The 15,877-nt window shown below is 38.0% G+C and overlaps 1 protein-coding gene across 2 annotated transcripts in view; it reads left to right on the plus strand.

Annotated features, from left to right (window-relative positions):
- NAA15 (N-alpha-acetyltransferase 15, NatA auxiliary subunit) overlaps positions 1–15,877 on the plus strand; it is an 89,880-nt gene that overhangs the window by 28,751 nt on the left and 45,252 nt on the right. For both annotated transcript variants that reach the window (NM_057175.5, NM_001410842.1), the window contains exons 2-6: positions 3,919–4,003; positions 6,593–6,697; positions 10,657–10,814; positions 12,571–12,705; positions 13,931–14,084. In NM_057175.5, the coding sequence (NP_476516.1) occupies positions 3,919–4,003; positions 6,593–6,697; positions 10,657–10,814; positions 12,571–12,705; positions 13,931–14,084 (637 nt within the window). The remainder of the gene's footprint in view (positions 1–3,918; positions 4,004–6,592; positions 6,698–10,656; positions 10,815–12,570; positions 12,706–13,930; positions 14,085–15,877) is intronic.

The raw sequence follows: 15,877 nt of genomic DNA on the forward strand, positions 1-15,877 counted from the left end.
CATAGCTTCCTTTAGTGCTTTCTTATTATAAGAAAAACAAGCTACTTTTAGGCTTTCTGCTAAGTAAATGGGAACACTAAATTTAGTTACTTAGTCTTACTATGTTTCTTTGGCTACATATGATGAATGATAGCTCTCAAGTAACTGCTTCTGCTTTCTCCTCCTCTTATCCCTGAAATCACTGTGCCTGCTGAATGCATAGTTGATTGTGGGAGACAAAGAAAATATTCAACCAGTTAGGAAGCTATTGCCAAGAAACCGGGTCTGATAGGACCTACCAGAGGACAGAAGTATAAGGGAAGGAGAAGCACCAAAGATGATTGGTTTTTTTTGCATAATCGTCTGGTTGAGTTGAAGAGGGGGAATCAACTCTATCTTCAGGATGGTGAAGACTTGGTGCAGAATACATTTTGGGCGAGAAAAATCAGTTGTATTTGGATATATTAGGTTTCAGATGCAAAACAACAGCATTGGAAGGCTGAGGCAGGAGGATTGCTGGAGCCTGTGATTGAGACACTGTACTCCAGTCTGGGCCACAGAGTGAGATCCTGTCTCAAAGCAACAACAAAGTGGAGATGATGGGTATATAGTTGGTTGTAAAGCAACTCTAGTTTGCTGTAGTGTGAACTTAATTGATTTCTTCATGCTAAAATGTGAAATTTTACATTTTTATTTTTCTGTTTCTACACATTTTCTACCATGATTTTTGTCATCACTTGCATTAACTTCTTTCCCAGATTTTAAATATATTGCCTCAAAAATTATGAGCAAAATTGTTTAAAATTTATATCAATGTATTCTGGCACGAATTGTATCTTTTAGAGCACTTTTTTTTTCTGTAACAAATACAATGCTTTAAAAATAAATTTTCATGTGAAAGCATATGTTGATGTCTAAAAGTCAGCTAGCACTAAAAGATTTATGATGAAAGAAATAATGTTCCCTATTTTCTCCCATCCCCTTGCTTTCCCCCTCCAGAATCAAGCAACTTCAGCCCTTTATTTTGTCTGGTATTTGCCTTCTTGTTGCTTAGTAATACATCACTATTTCTTCTTGATACATAGCTTTTAAATATTTGTTGACCTCTGGTTTGTGAAAATGAGGACTCAGAACTTACTCATTCACACATTTGCCCACTTTCATCTTCCTCATTCCTCAACATAATTATATCACAAGTTTTTTTTTCTTCTTTCTTTCTTTTTTTTTTTTGAGACAGAGTCTGGCCCTGTTGCCCAGGCTGTAGTGCAGTGGCATCATCTTGGCTCACTGCAGCCTCCGCCTCCCAGCTTCCAGTGATTCTCCTGCCTCAGCCTCCCAAGTAGCTGGGATTACAGGCGCCTGCATGCCATCATGCCCGGCTAATTTTTTTTTTTTTTTTTTTGTATTTTTAGTAGAGAAAGAGTTTCACCACGTTGGTCAGGCTGGTCTCGAACTCTTGACCTTAAGTGATCCGCTCACCTCAGCCTCCCAAAGTGCTGGGATTACAAGCATGAGCTATCATGCCCGGCCATATCACAGGTTTTTTATAAACTAGTACAGAATGTTTACATTTTTATAACTATGCATATATTGTTCAGTATTGAGCCAAATTTGTACTAAATCCAAGTCTTATACAAGCTTTTGTTTTTTCTGGAGTTAATACCTATTATTTAGGCAGTTGACTGGTTTTCTGTAGACCTATTGCTCGTTTCCTGCAAATGTGCCTGTATTTCTGTCATGAGCTTATGATTAACATTTTCCATGTTAGCAAGCACACTAGTTCGATTTTTGCTCTTGCTGGAAACCTATTCCATAGTAGCTTTTGACTCTGCTCCACTCTGGAGTGGCTGTTCTCTAGTTCTTTTTTCTGTATTATATTCCTTATTTACTAAGTCCTATAGTGCTTTTGTTTTTGAGATACAGTCTCACACTGTCATCCAGGCTGGAGTGCAGTAGCGCAATCTCGGCTCACTACAACCTCTGCCTCTCGGGTTCAAACGATTCTCCTGCCTCAGCTTCCCAAGCAGCTAGGATTACAGGCGCCCGCCACCATGCCCAGCTAATTTTTGTATTTTTAGTAGAAACGGGGTTTCACCATGTTGGCCTGGCTGGTCTCGAACTTCTGACCTCGTGATCTGCCCGCCTCGGCCTCCAAAAGTGCTGGGATTACAGATGTGAGCCACCACGCCTGGCCCTCGATAGTGCCTTTTAAAAAATTTATCCTAATTTCTTTTAATGGCTTCCTAAGGAAGAATACATGGACACAAAAGTTTAGCTTTTTGCAAAGCTTTAAAATGTCTTTTTGCTCTTATACAGTCTTGGTATTTTGGTTTGTATGTTTTTTTTTTTTTTTTTTTTTTTTTTTTGAGACGGAGTCTCACTCTGTTGCCCAGGCTGGAGTGTGGTGGTGCGATCTCTGCTCACTGCAACCTCTGCCTGCTGGGTTCAAATGATTCTCCTGCCTCAGTCTCCTGAGTAGCTGGGATTACAGGTGGCGCCAGCAGGCCTGGCTAATTTTTGTATTTTTAGTGGAGACAGGGTTTCACCATGTTGGCCAGGCTGGTCTCGAACTGCTGACCTCAGATGATCCACCCACCTTGGCCTACCAAAGTGCTGGGATTACAAGCATGAGCCACCGTGCCTGGCCTCTTATATAGTCTTAATGTATGGGAGCAAAATGACATTTTGCGAGATTGGTTCCAGGATCTCCCTTGGGTACCAAAATCCAGGGATGCTCAAGTCCTTGATATACAATGGCATAGTATTTGCATATAACCTATGCACATCCTCTTGTATACTGTAAATTATCTCTAGGTTATTTATAATACCTAATACAATGTAAATACTGTGTAAATAGTTGTTATACTGTATTGCTTAGACATTAATTACAAGAGAAAAGTGTAAGTTTGTATAGATGCAGTTTTTTTTTTTCCTAATACTTTCTATCTGTAGTTAGCAGAATCTACGCATGTAGAACCCATGGATATGGGGCCTGACTGTACTTGATTGATGACTCAGCTGGTACAGAATTATAAGTTGAAACTTAATTTTCACTCTGACTTTTGAAGGCCGTATATTTGTCTTCTAGATTTCAACAGTATTTCATTTTTACTTTCAAATAAGAGTGCATTGCTATTCTGATTATAGATCTTTTTTATGTGACTTGTTTTTTTCCCCTCTCTGGAAGTTTTTAAGGACCTTTTTTTTTTATTTTCAGGCTTTGAGATTTCACTATGATATGTTACAGTCTGGGTATTTTTTCCGTGTATTTTGCATGGACTTTTTTTGGCCCTTTCAGCTTGAAAGCTTCAGTAAAAAGAAAACGTTCTTCAGTAAAAAGAAAATGTTCTTTAGAAAACTAGCTGGGCATAGTGGCTCATGCCTGTTATCCCAGCCCCTGGGGAGGCCGAGGTGGGAGGATTGCTTGAGTGAGTCCTGAGATCGCTTGAGAATCTTGGAGTCTGAGACCAGCCTAGGCAACATAGTGAGTCCCTGTCTCTACAAAAAATAAAAATATTAGCCAGGTATGGTGGCGTGTGCCTGTAGTCCCAGCTACTTGGGAGGCTGAGATAGAAGTATTCCTTGGGCCCAGGTGGATATGGTCGCTGTGAGCTGTCATCACGCCACTGTGCCCTGCCTGGGTGACAGAGTGAGTCTCAGTCTTAAAAAAAAATAAATAAAAGAAATTCTATACCATTTATTTTTCTGTTCTCTTTCTGCATCACTCAGTTGTTGGACTTTACTAATCTATATTTTGTTCCTTTGTCTTTTACTTCCTGTATTTGAACCTTTTGTATTTTTTATTGGCATTTTACCGAGATTTAGAAGCATATGGAAATAGCATTCTGTTGTATTTAACAGAGTAGAGAAATTTAGCGTTGAATTTAAAGTTGTTTGTATTCCTTGCTAAACTTAAATTTTTCTTTTTTGTTTTGACAGAGGTGTTATGAACATAAACAGTATAGAAATGGATTGAAATTCTGTAAACAAATACTTTCTAATCCCAAATTTGCAGAGCATGGAGGTAAGTGCAAGTAGATAAAGCTTTACTACATACCTGTCTGGCCTCTCTTACTGGATTGTATTCTTCCCAGCTGCCTTAACTGTTTTCCAGAGAGAACAGACCCTCTCATCTTTGACTTCTGTGAGAAAGTGAAATTTAATACTGAATTTTGAATTTAATATCAAGAAAATGATAACACATTTTACTTGAGTTCTGATTTATTCTTAGTTTGAATATTACCTCTGTAGGAAAAGAGAAATAATAGGATAGAATGCTAAAATTTACTTTAGAACTTTGGTTGAGCTGTATAAATTGTATGCTTTATAATCTTATTCAGAAAGTGACCATTTGGTCCTTTGCTCATAAACTATCATATTTTTTATTTATGTTTTTCAGTTTCTCAAGACCAAGTCATGTTTAAGACATGATTTGTATATTGTAATGTTCTGAAAGTTTATAGGCTTTTGCTTGTGTGAAGGTAGATTATTGGATGGTGAGATATTTGTAGAGCAAGGGGAGAGTGTGTGGCTAAACTTGAGAGGAGGCAAAGGAAAAATAAGTTTTGGCAGGTCTGATTTGTACAGTTAAGAAACGTGGCTGTTCAGTAACTATTGATAATGCACTCTTAGTATTGAAGAGAAGGGGGAGAGTAGTAATTCTCCATTAGATTCCTTGCCTTTTTTTTGGCCTATCTTTATAATCTCACTTTCTTTCACTGTGTTTCACTTTATACTTTCTTTTACTGTAATTGTTTGGAGATGGAAAACAATGGAGATAAAAGTATTTAAATTTATCTCTCTGCTGGGTGCTGGGGCTCACTCCTAATGATCCCAACCCTTTGGGAGACTGAGGCAGGAGGATTGCTTGAGGCCAGAAATTCAAGATCAGCCTGGGCAACATAGCGGGACCTTGTCTTTATTATGACAAAACATATATTTAAAAAAACAAGTAAATAGAAATAAATTTATCTCTCTTTTTCCATATTAAAAATTATTTTTGCTGACCAGCTGAGCTTTATGTTGTTTGATATTCATTTCTAAAGTAGGCATACTCATAATGTGTTCAATACAGAAAAGTATCAGATTTCATTATTTCTGAAATGCAGTTTTCCCTACATCATTTCACTGTTTTTTCTTCTTGTTTTTTGAGATAGAGTTTCATTGTGTTGTCCAGGCTGGAGTGCAGTGGCGCAATCTCAGCTCACTACAGCTTCCACCTCCTGGGTTCAAGCGACTCCCCTACCTCAGCCTCCCAAGTAGCTGGGATTACAGGCGTGTGCCACCATGCCAGGCTAATTTTTGTATTTTTAGTAGAGATGAGGTCTCACCATGTTGGCCAGGCTGGTCTCAAACTCCTGACCTCAGGTGATCCACCCACCTCGGCCTCCCAAAGTGCTGGAATTACAGTGAGCCACTGCGCCCAGCCTATTTCACTGTTTCTAAAATGTGATTCTCCAACTCCCTGCCCTGCCACTGTAACATACCTGAATTCAGGTTGCATATAAATTGTCATAATTTCATTGAAAGTTTTTTTTTTTTTTGAGACGGAGTCTCACTCTGTTGCCCAGGCTGGAGTGCAATGGGGCAATTTTGGCTCACTGCAACCTCTGCCTCCTGGGTTCAAGCAATTCTTGTGCCTCAGCCTCCCAACTAGCTGGCATTACAGGTGCCCCCCACCACACCTGGCTATTTTTGTATTTTTAGTAGAGACGGGGGTTCACCATGTTGGCCAGGCTGATCTGGAACTCCTGACCTCAAGTGATCTGCCCACCTTGGCCTCCTGAAGTCTTGAGATTACAGGTGTGAGGCACTGTGCCTGGCCAAAAGTATTTTTAAACGGTACATGTTGATTCTTCCTCAGGATTATATCTTTAATCCTTATCTTTTGTGCCTAATTAATTTCTCTCTAAAGTCTAAATTTTAGTCTAAAAGAGAAATCAATCAAATAAATTAAAAAGTTAGGCAAATAATGTTTTCACTTCCTTTAGGCTTCATAGGATACATATAAAATTAGAGTTTAGTTTTCCTCTTCTGAAAACTTAATATTTCTTTTAACTCTCTTTTAATCTTTTGGTTGCCAATGATAGATTTCTGACATCTTTTTCTTGTATATTTAATAGTAATCTCAAATAATCATTTTAAAATAAATTTAGGAAAATAAAAAATGTAGGAAATTTATGTGTATTTTTTAAATCACTGATGAGTTTAACCCGTATATAACCTAGGTTCACAGAAATAAAGTATATTTTCAAGATAAAGTTTTTATATTTTAATGAAGTAGATATGTAAGGTTATCCCATGGAATTCCCCTGAAGAATGAATTACTAGATTATCTTTCTAGTCAAATAGCATGCATTTTGTATCTTTTATCTTAAAAAAAAGGAGAGTCTCTTTCCAATAATAGAGTCTGGAAATCTGTGTTTACTTGGATTGCCAATTTTAAAAATGTTTTAAATCTGCAAGAAAGTGGAAAGTATCTTAGTAATCTCCTTGACATTTTTAATTCTTAAGGCAGTGTAGCATTTGTTTTTGAGATTATGGTTCTGTTGTTATTTATTTTTAATATTTATTTTTTTAAAATGTTCCTTTTCTTCTTTGTTTTTGAAAATAGAAACCTTGGCTATGAAAGGATTAACATTGAACTGTTTGGGGAAAAAGGAAGAAGCTTATGAATTGGTTCGTAGAGGTTTGAGAAATGACTTGAAGAGTCATGTGTGTATCCTTTTTGAGATATATTTAAGGTTTGAGTGGGGTGTTTTGAGCTAAGGCAGCAATTTGAGAGTCAAAGTTTTAGATCTCTCTTATTGTGCTATTACAGAGGAAATTATTTTTTAAATAGGGTAACAGCAACTGCCTTCATTCAGGGAACATTTTTATATACCTAACCATGTTTTAACATTCTCTTATTTCACAGATAAATGGAACTTGCCTTTAAAAATATCTGTGAAAGCTTTTCTCACTCTTAAAAAGGGGGCATTGCTAGGGTCTGAATATTTGTGTGGCACTCCGCTACCCCATTTGTTGAAAACTAATCACCAATGTGATAGTGGTAGGTGGTGGGTCTCAAAAAGAAAAAGGATATAAAATAAGGAATATTAGAGCGGCATTATAATACCCTGGTTTAGAGCACAAGCTTTTGGAGTATAGGCTTAGAGTGTGCCTCACTTAGGTTCAAAACCCATTTCAGCTTCTTTCTGTGTGATCTTAGAGCTCAGTTTCTTCATGTGTAAAATGGGGATAATCATACCCACCTCACTGTGTTGGTTTAAAGACTTAATGATGAGATATATAACATAGCCCCTGATAATGCTAAGTACCATATTGGATAAATAGTTTATTAAGGAAGAGTAAGAGCAAATAGAAATGTCTGAGGGAGGATAGAGAAAAAATTGTGGGTTGCTATTTTTAAGATAGACTTTAGCAAATATTTCTATACCAACTTTGTGGGCTGACACAATTTTAAGTGCTGAAACAATTAGCAATTTTTCAGATGTTTACCAGGCCCTTGGCTTAGTACAGACAAAGAAAAGATAACAGATTTTGCTCTCAAAGAACTTACAGTCTGGTGAAGGAAGATACTGATTAGAAACATTTACAGAACATTTAGGAGTATTACATAAGATGTTATGGTTTATTCAAGTAATTGTCACTAATCCAGTAAAGCAGAAGTATGTGAATTGAGAGTGACTAGAGGACTAGAAAGACAAGCAAAGGCTTAACTATTAAGACTGTCATAGATAGATGTCTTTCCATCATTTTTAATGATTGTATAGTGTTCTGCCAATGTTTTATTATGATTTATTTGAGTTCCTCTTGATGGACATAATTTTCTTTAAATATTTGGCAATGTTAAACTCTTTGAGGGTGGGATTTTTAGGAGATGAAGATGAGAGTCAGTTGTGTGGCTGTTGCAATATTTAAGAGAGGTAAAGTCCTGAAATACAGGATATTAGTGATAGAAATGGGAGGGAGTGGAAAGATAGGTAATGGGAGCTAGATTTTAATGGGTAGTGTTTCCTAGTTTATAAAACCATGATCCAAACGGCTGAGAGGATTTGATCCAGTTGCACTTTGTCATTTGTATTACGGAAATCAAGATTATTTTTCAAATAAAATTTGTAATATTTTGACTTGCTTTAAAAATGTGTAATATTAAATATGTGTTTTTAGTTCATGCATGCCATCCTAAACATTCTGGGGTTTTTTTTTGTTTGTTTGTGCTTTTTTTTAGATGGAGTTTTGATCTTGTCGCCCAGGCTGGAGTGCAATGGCACGATCTCAGCTCACTGCAACCTCTGCCTCCCTGCTTCAAGTGATTCTCCTGCCTCAGCCTCCCAAGTAGCTGGCATTACAGGTGCACAGCACCAAGCCTGGCTAATTTTTGTATTTTTAGTAGAGACAGGGTTTCATCATGTTGGCCAGGCTGGTGTCAAACTCCTGACCTCAAGCCATCCACCCATCTTGGCCTTCGAAAGTGCTGGGATTACAGGTGTGAGCCACCATGCCTGGCCAACATTCTGTATTTTATTGACTCTGTTGAGGACCTCTGGCCTAAAAGTTGTTAGATTGAAGGTTGTTGTTTGTTTGTTTTTGAGATGGAGTTTCACTCTGTCACCCAGGCTAGAGTGCAGTGGTGTGATCTTGGCTCACTGCAACCTCTACCTCCTGGGTTCAGGTAATACTCCTGTCTCAGCCTCCCGAGTAGCTGGGAATACAGGTGCATGCCACCATACCTGGGTGTTTTTTGTATTTTTAGTATAGACGAGATTTTGCAGTGTTGGCCAGGCTGGTCTCGAACTCGTGACTTGAAGTGATCCACCTACCACTGCCTCCCAAAGTGCTGGGATTACAGGTGTGAGCCACTGTACCTGGCCAGATTGAAGTTTGAGCTTGATCTCAGAAAGAAACGTTATAAGTTTCTGGAAAGGGAAGTGGACTTCCGTTTTTCTTTTGAGTGTGTTTTAAAAAGATTATTTTGGGCCAGCCACAGTGACTCATGCCCATAATCCCAGCACTTTGGGAGGCTGAGGCAGCGATCACTTGAGGCTAGGAGTTCAAGACTAGCCTGGGCATCATAGTGAGACCTCGTCTCTATGGAAAATAAAAAATTAACTGCATGTGGTGGTGGCATGTGCCTGTGGTCCTAGCTGCTCTGGAGGCTGGGGTAGAAGGATTGTTTGAGCCCAGGAGTTTGAGGCTACAGTGAGCTATGAGTGTGCCACTGCACTCCAGCCTAGGTGATAGAGCGAGACCATCTCTTTTAAAAAACGCAATAATTAGGAGGCGGGCGGATCACGAGATCAGGAGATCAAGACCATCCTGGCCAACATGGTGAAACCCTGTCTCTACTAAAAATACAAAAATTATAGCTGGGCGTGGTGGCAGACGCTTGTAATCCCAGCTACTTGGGAGGCTGAGGCAGGAGAGTTGCTTGAACCTGGGAGGCAGAGGTTGCAGTGAGCTGAGATCATGCCACTGCACTCTAGCCTGGTGACAGAGCGAGACTCCATCTCAAAAACAAACAAACAACAACAACAACAACAAAAAACAACAAAACCCAATTACTTTGGTAGGAGAATAAAAGAAGACAGACTGAAGATAGGTGGGTTGGGTAGCTGGTACAGTAATCAAGATCTAAAGTGAAAAAGGGCTGTATTTGGGAAGTGGAATATTCTCCTCCTTGATAGCAGTTTTTACAACCTACTTTAATTTTGCTTATTTATCTGTCCTTTACTAGACTTTAAGATCTTTTAATATAGGAGGCTATTTTGATGACCTACGTCTTAGTTATTAAGAAGTTTTAGGCTGGGTTTGGGAGCTTATGCCTGTAATCCCCGCACTTTGGGAGGCCAAGGCAGGTGTATTGCTTGGGCTCAGGAGTTTGAGACCATCTTGGGCAACATGGCGAGATCCCATCTCTACCAAAAATAGAAAAAAATAGCTGGCATGCTGGTGTGTGCCTGTAGTCGCAGCTACTCAGGAGGCTGAGGTGGGAGTATCACTTGAGTGCAGGGAGTGGAGGTTGCAGTGAGCAAAGACCACACCACGACACTCCAGACTGGGTGACAGAGCAATACCTGTCTCAAAAAAAGGGAAAGAAGTTTTAATAATTACGGTTAAATGAATGAATGTTTTTATTTTATATGTGGCTGAGTTTTAGAAACTTTGTATTACACTAAGGGTTGTCCTAAGAATCTTGTTAGTTCAAGAAAATAAAATCTTCATGACTTTACATAACTGGATTCCATGAAGACCCATTCCTTCTTTTTCCTTTTACTATTAATAATATAGTAACTGTTTACATATATATATATTGACTTTGTGCCAGCCAGTGAGCACTTTATATATGTTATCCCATTTAGTTGTCAGTAGTATGATTTGCTGCATAGACTATTTGTTTACATTTTAGTAATGAGGAAACTTAATGAGACTGATTTGTCCAAGGTTACAGAGCTGATAAGGTAGGCAAGACCTAATTTTCTCTGGCTGCAAAAGCTGTGCTCTTTTCCACTGTATTAAACTGCTTTATATCTTTGAAATCAATCTCCCCCTCCCCTTCCCCTTCTTTTTAAGCTTGTAGTTTTATAAATGGCTGTGGTTCTCCAAGTTTTTTGGGAGGTCGTTTGGAATAGTAATTTTTGACTTGTAGGTTGTACCCTTAACTAAATTCTTTAGGTTGGCACGTTTATGGCCTTCTTCAGAGGTCAGACAAGAAGTATGATGAAGCCATTAAGTGTTACAGAAATGCACTAAAATGGGATAAAGACAATCTTCAAATCTTAAGGGACCTTTCCTTACTACAGATTCAAATGCGAGATCTTGAGGGTTACAGGGTAAGTAAAATAGAGACTTTTTTTTTTAATTCTAAGGGGAAAATATGTACAACTTTGAGTACTTTCAGATACATAAATTTTTTATTTCATTTTGAAAATAATTTAATTGAATTTTTTTTTCCTCCTACCACAGTGGTTATGTTTATGATTGGAATAATCAGATCTTTAAAAATAAATTATTTTATGGTGAGGCAGATTTGGCCTACTGTGTAGGGTTGACTTAATTTGATAAAAATTAACATCAGGCCAGGTGCGGTGGCTCACGCCTGTAGTCCCAGCACTTTGGGAGGCCCAGGTGGGTGAATCATGAGGTCAGGAGATCGAGACCATCCTGCCTAACACAGTGAAACCCCATCTCTACTAAAAATACAAAAAATTAGCTAGGCGTGGTGGCAGGTGCCTGTAGTCTAGCTACTCAGGAGGCTGAGGCAGGAGAATGGCCTGAACCCGGGAGGTGGAGCTTGCAGTGAGCCAAGATCACGCCACTGCACTCCGGCCTGGGTAACAGAGCGAAACTCTGTCTCAAAAAAAAAAAAAAAAAAAAAAAAAAGAAAATCAGTACTCCTCAAATAAACAATGCCTTTGTCTAGTATTGACATGTAACTCTAACATTTACTTCCCACATTTTTCTGGAAAGCAAAACAAAAAAAAAATTTTTTTTTTCTTGGAGACATTAGAGTCTCACTCTGTTGCCCAGGCTGGAGTGCAGTGGCATGATCTTGGCTCACTGCAGCTTCCACCTCCTGGGTTCAAGCAGTTCTCATGCCTCAGCCTCCTGAGTAGCTGGGGCTACAGACATGTGCCACCATGCCCAGCTCATTTTTTATATTCTAATAGAGATGAGGTTTCACCATGTTGCTCAGGCTGGTCTTGAACTCCTGAGCTCAGGCAGTCCACCCCACCTTATTCTCCCAAAGTGCTAGGATTACGGGCATGAGCTGCTGCACCTGGCAAAAACAAATGTTTTGTTTCTTCTTTCTACCTCCACTGACTCTAATATATTTTTGTAGCTTCGATTTTAACCCTTAAATTAGTGTTAGATCTATTTAGTTCCTCTTTCATATTCTTTCCTCTTTATGTATGTTAACTCTGTAGTTGGACACTTAATTTTTAAAAACATTTTTGAATATTTTTCCTTTGTGCTGTTCTTTCCATCCTGCCTCTTTTCTGGGACTGAGCAGATCAAGAAATAAAGAAGGGTCTTAAGTTTGGTCTTAAGTTTTAAAAACTTAAATCTGGTCTTAAGTTTTAAAAAAATTCTAAGATTAGCTTGGAGGCTTCATTATGTTCTTAACAAATATTTCTTTGCCTCCATAAAGCTACACAATATGGATGTTTGAAGTATTTTCTATTATTGTTCCCATCATTGTGTTGTAAAATGCTTGGGGTTGTGGGATAAATTAATGTGTGTTTTTTTTTTTTTTTTTTGAGACGGCGTCTTGCTCTGTTGCCAGGCTGCAACCTCTGCCTCCCGGGTTCAAGTGATTCTCCCGCCTCAGCCTCCTGAGTAGCTGGGACCACAGGCGTGCACCACCATGCCCAGTTAATTTTTGTATTTTTGATAGAGACGGGGTTTCACCATGTTGGCCAGGATGGTCTCGATCTCTTGACCTCGTGATCCACCCGCCTTAGCCTCCCAAAGTGCTGGGATTACAGGCGTGAGCCACTGCGCCTGGCCTAATATGGAGATCTTTTAAAGGAGCACTTGCTGTTACTAAAAGCCTAAGAAAAAGTGTTTATTTTTTTCCTTTTAAAGGAAACGAGGTATCAGTTACTTCAGCTTCGACCTGCGCAGAGAGCATCATGGATTGGTTATGCTATTGCTTACCATTTATTAGAAGATTATGAAATGGCAGCAAAGATTTTAGAAGAATTTAGGAAAACACAACAGGTAATAACTAGAAGCCATTTTACTAAGTCTGATCCTAAGTATAACTAAAAAAATAATGTGCATAGTCTGGCTTACTTTTAATTTTGAAATAGTTTCAAACTTATAGAAAAGTTGCAGGAATAGCACAAAGAACTCTACATAGGGGTTCATTCATACTAAACTAATTGTTAATATTTGGTGCATTTACTTTAAAATTTGTGTATCTATTTATCTATTTTAATTTTCTTCCTTAAATGTTTGAGAGTAATTGCAAGACATCATGCTCCTTTACCCCTAAATGCTTTAGTGTGTATTTTCTAAAAATAACTGTATAGTTTTCAGTTCTCTAGATAGTATTATAGGGATAGATTATAAAAATTAGGAAATTTAACACTGATAGACTGTTATCTAATTAATCCCCAGCCCATATTCAGAATTTACTAATTGTCCTAGTTATAGCCTTTCTAGCAATTTGATTTCATTGCAGGATCCAATTAAGAATCATACCTTACATTTAGTTATCATTTCTCTTCAGCCTCTTTTAATCTGAAACAGTTTTGAAAACTTCCTTTGTATTTTATGACATAGACATTTCTGAAGAAGGCTGTGCTTTTGTAGGATGTCCCTCAATTTGGATTTTTCTGATGGTTCCTCATTCTTAGATAGAGTTTTATAATTTTGGCAGGAAACCATATAAATGATATTGGGTCCTTCTGCGTTCATTACATCAAGAGGCACATGCCATCAGTTCGTTCCATTTGATTACATGGTGAAAGTTGTATTTGCAGTTGTAAACGTATTTTTCTCTCTTTGTGTTTAATATGCAGTTTGAGACTGAATAGCCTATTGCTCATCAAACTTTCACCATCTAGTTTTAGCATTCATTGATTATGATTCTTGCCTGAATCAGTATTACTATGATAGTCGCAAAATGGTGATTCTCTTAACTCTAGTCATTCCTTGTAGGTTTATTATTTGGCATTCTACTCCTGAGTAAGAGCTTTCCCTTCTTCCCCATATTTATTGTGTGTAAGGACTTATGGATTATTATTTTATTCAACCTGTTATATCCTAATATTGTCATTATTTACTCAGTTGCTCTGTAGATACTTAAGAATTTTTTAAAAATTAGTTTTATCAACCGGATGTTATCCTTTGACTTCTTACATGTTTTTGAGTATTGTGAACAATTTTCTGATATGAAAATAAAATTCTTACTGTCAGTATTCCTTATATCCATATACAGACATCCCCTGACAAGGTGGATTATGAATATAGTGAACTACTCTTATATCAGAATCAAGTTCTTCGGGAAGCAGGTCTCTATAGAGAAGCTTTGGAACATCTTTGTACCTATGAAAAGCAGATTTGTGATAAACTTGCTGTAGAAGAAACCAAAGGTATTTTTAAAAGAATTGTCATTTATTCTAATATTGAAATATGACAGAGCAAGGCTGAAAAATCTAGTTGCTGCTGACAGTTTCATATAATTCAGCTTTTTGATGATAGGAAATCTATTTCTTACTCGTGTACTTTTAATAGTTTATGATGTGGGAAAATGTACATTTAAACAATATTGTAGATAGAGGAGAAAGTTGATTGTGAACAATGAAAAGTAGTTGAATGAAATGACTCATAACATTCTTTAAATAAAGTATCTTTGTATTAAAAATATTATGGAATTTGATCAAAACACAAGAGACAATTAGTTTTATAAGACAGAGGATGACATTTCTTAGAAACAGTTTATTAATAAACTATAGTGTATGTAGTATGTGCCAGATTTATTGCTAATAATATATATTGATGAATCAGTCTTTACTAAAATACATATAGGATATTTCTGAGAGTCTTTATGGTTAATCTGAATGTCTTCGATGACACAGAAAGAATATGAGTTCTGGAAGAAAGGGAGACCAGAGATTTGGGTTCATAATATGTAGATTGTGATAGGAGGGGTAGATCCCACTCAGCAGAGGGCTGAGAAAAATGAGTCTTAACAGTTTTAGAAGTTGAGGGCGTGATTATAGAAAATAAAAGAAGAATAACAAGTAATGAAAGGACAAGTGATTTTTTAAAAAATTACCTTCTGAAATGCTGCTTTGTCCTTGCTAGTCTAGGGAACTGAAGTTTGCTGGTTTCACATTCCCTTGGCTCACCTTGAGGTTGAACACAAAAAGTATAATATACATCCATGTGCATAATAGGTATAGCCATTGTTTGCCAGATAAACTTTTGTCGGAGGATAATGGTACTGATAAGAAAAACTGGAATTCTAAGACTTCTGGAGGGAGCTCTCTTGTGAACTGCAGATCCAAGACAACCTTCTTTCATTTGAAGTAGTCATTCTTTAGTAGTCTGTTAATCACAAAGGAAGGAAATTTCTGACTTGCTGGAAAGATGGCAAGTCTGGAAAAAACTTGTCTCATTGGCCACTAAATAGCTCTGTGAACAGAGTCAAGGCTTGGGCCTCAAGTTTCTTTATGGAAATAAATGACAAATTATTTCATTTGATCCCTTTGATAACTTCATTAATGAGGAAGAATGGCAGATAGGTAAAGTTAGATAAAGGACTCAGAGCTGACCAGTGGATTTTTAGCAATTTAGAAGTCATTGGTGACCTTAACAAAAGCACTTTCTGAGCTTCTGGAAGAAGGATGGTAAAAGCCCAAACATCAAGTCTATTTAAAAGAGACTGAGGCCGGGCGCGGTGGCTCAACCCTGTAATCCCAGCACTTTGGGAGGCCGAGGCAGGTGGATCACGAGGTCAGGAGATCGAGACCATCCTGGCTAATCTGGTGAAACCTCGTCTCTACTAAAAATACAGAAAAATTAGCCAGGCGTGGTGGCAGGCGCCTGTAGTCCCAGCTACTCGGGAGGCTGAGGCAGGAGAACGGCGTGAACCTGGGAGGCGGAGCTTGCAGTGAGCTGAGATTGTGCCACTGCACTCCAGGCTGGGCAACAGAGCAAGACTCCGTATCAAAAAAAAAAGGGAGTGGGAGTAGAGGAACTGAAGATAAGAAGCACACATGACTCAGTTGAGGAGTTTTGCTGTAAATGAAACAAATGGGGTGCCGGTAGGTGAAATGGGATGCAGGCTCAAAAAGTTTTTGTTTGTTTGTTTGTTTTTCATAGCGTGTATTTGTGCTGACTGGGGAGTGATCCAATAGAGATAGAATATTTGATACAGTAG

This window comes from Homo sapiens, chromosome 4 (assembly GCF_000001405.40).
Source record: "Homo sapiens chromosome 4, GRCh38.p14 Primary Assembly".
In the NCBI taxonomy this organism is placed as follows: domain Eukaryota; kingdom Metazoa; phylum Chordata; class Mammalia; order Primates; family Hominidae; genus Homo; species Homo sapiens.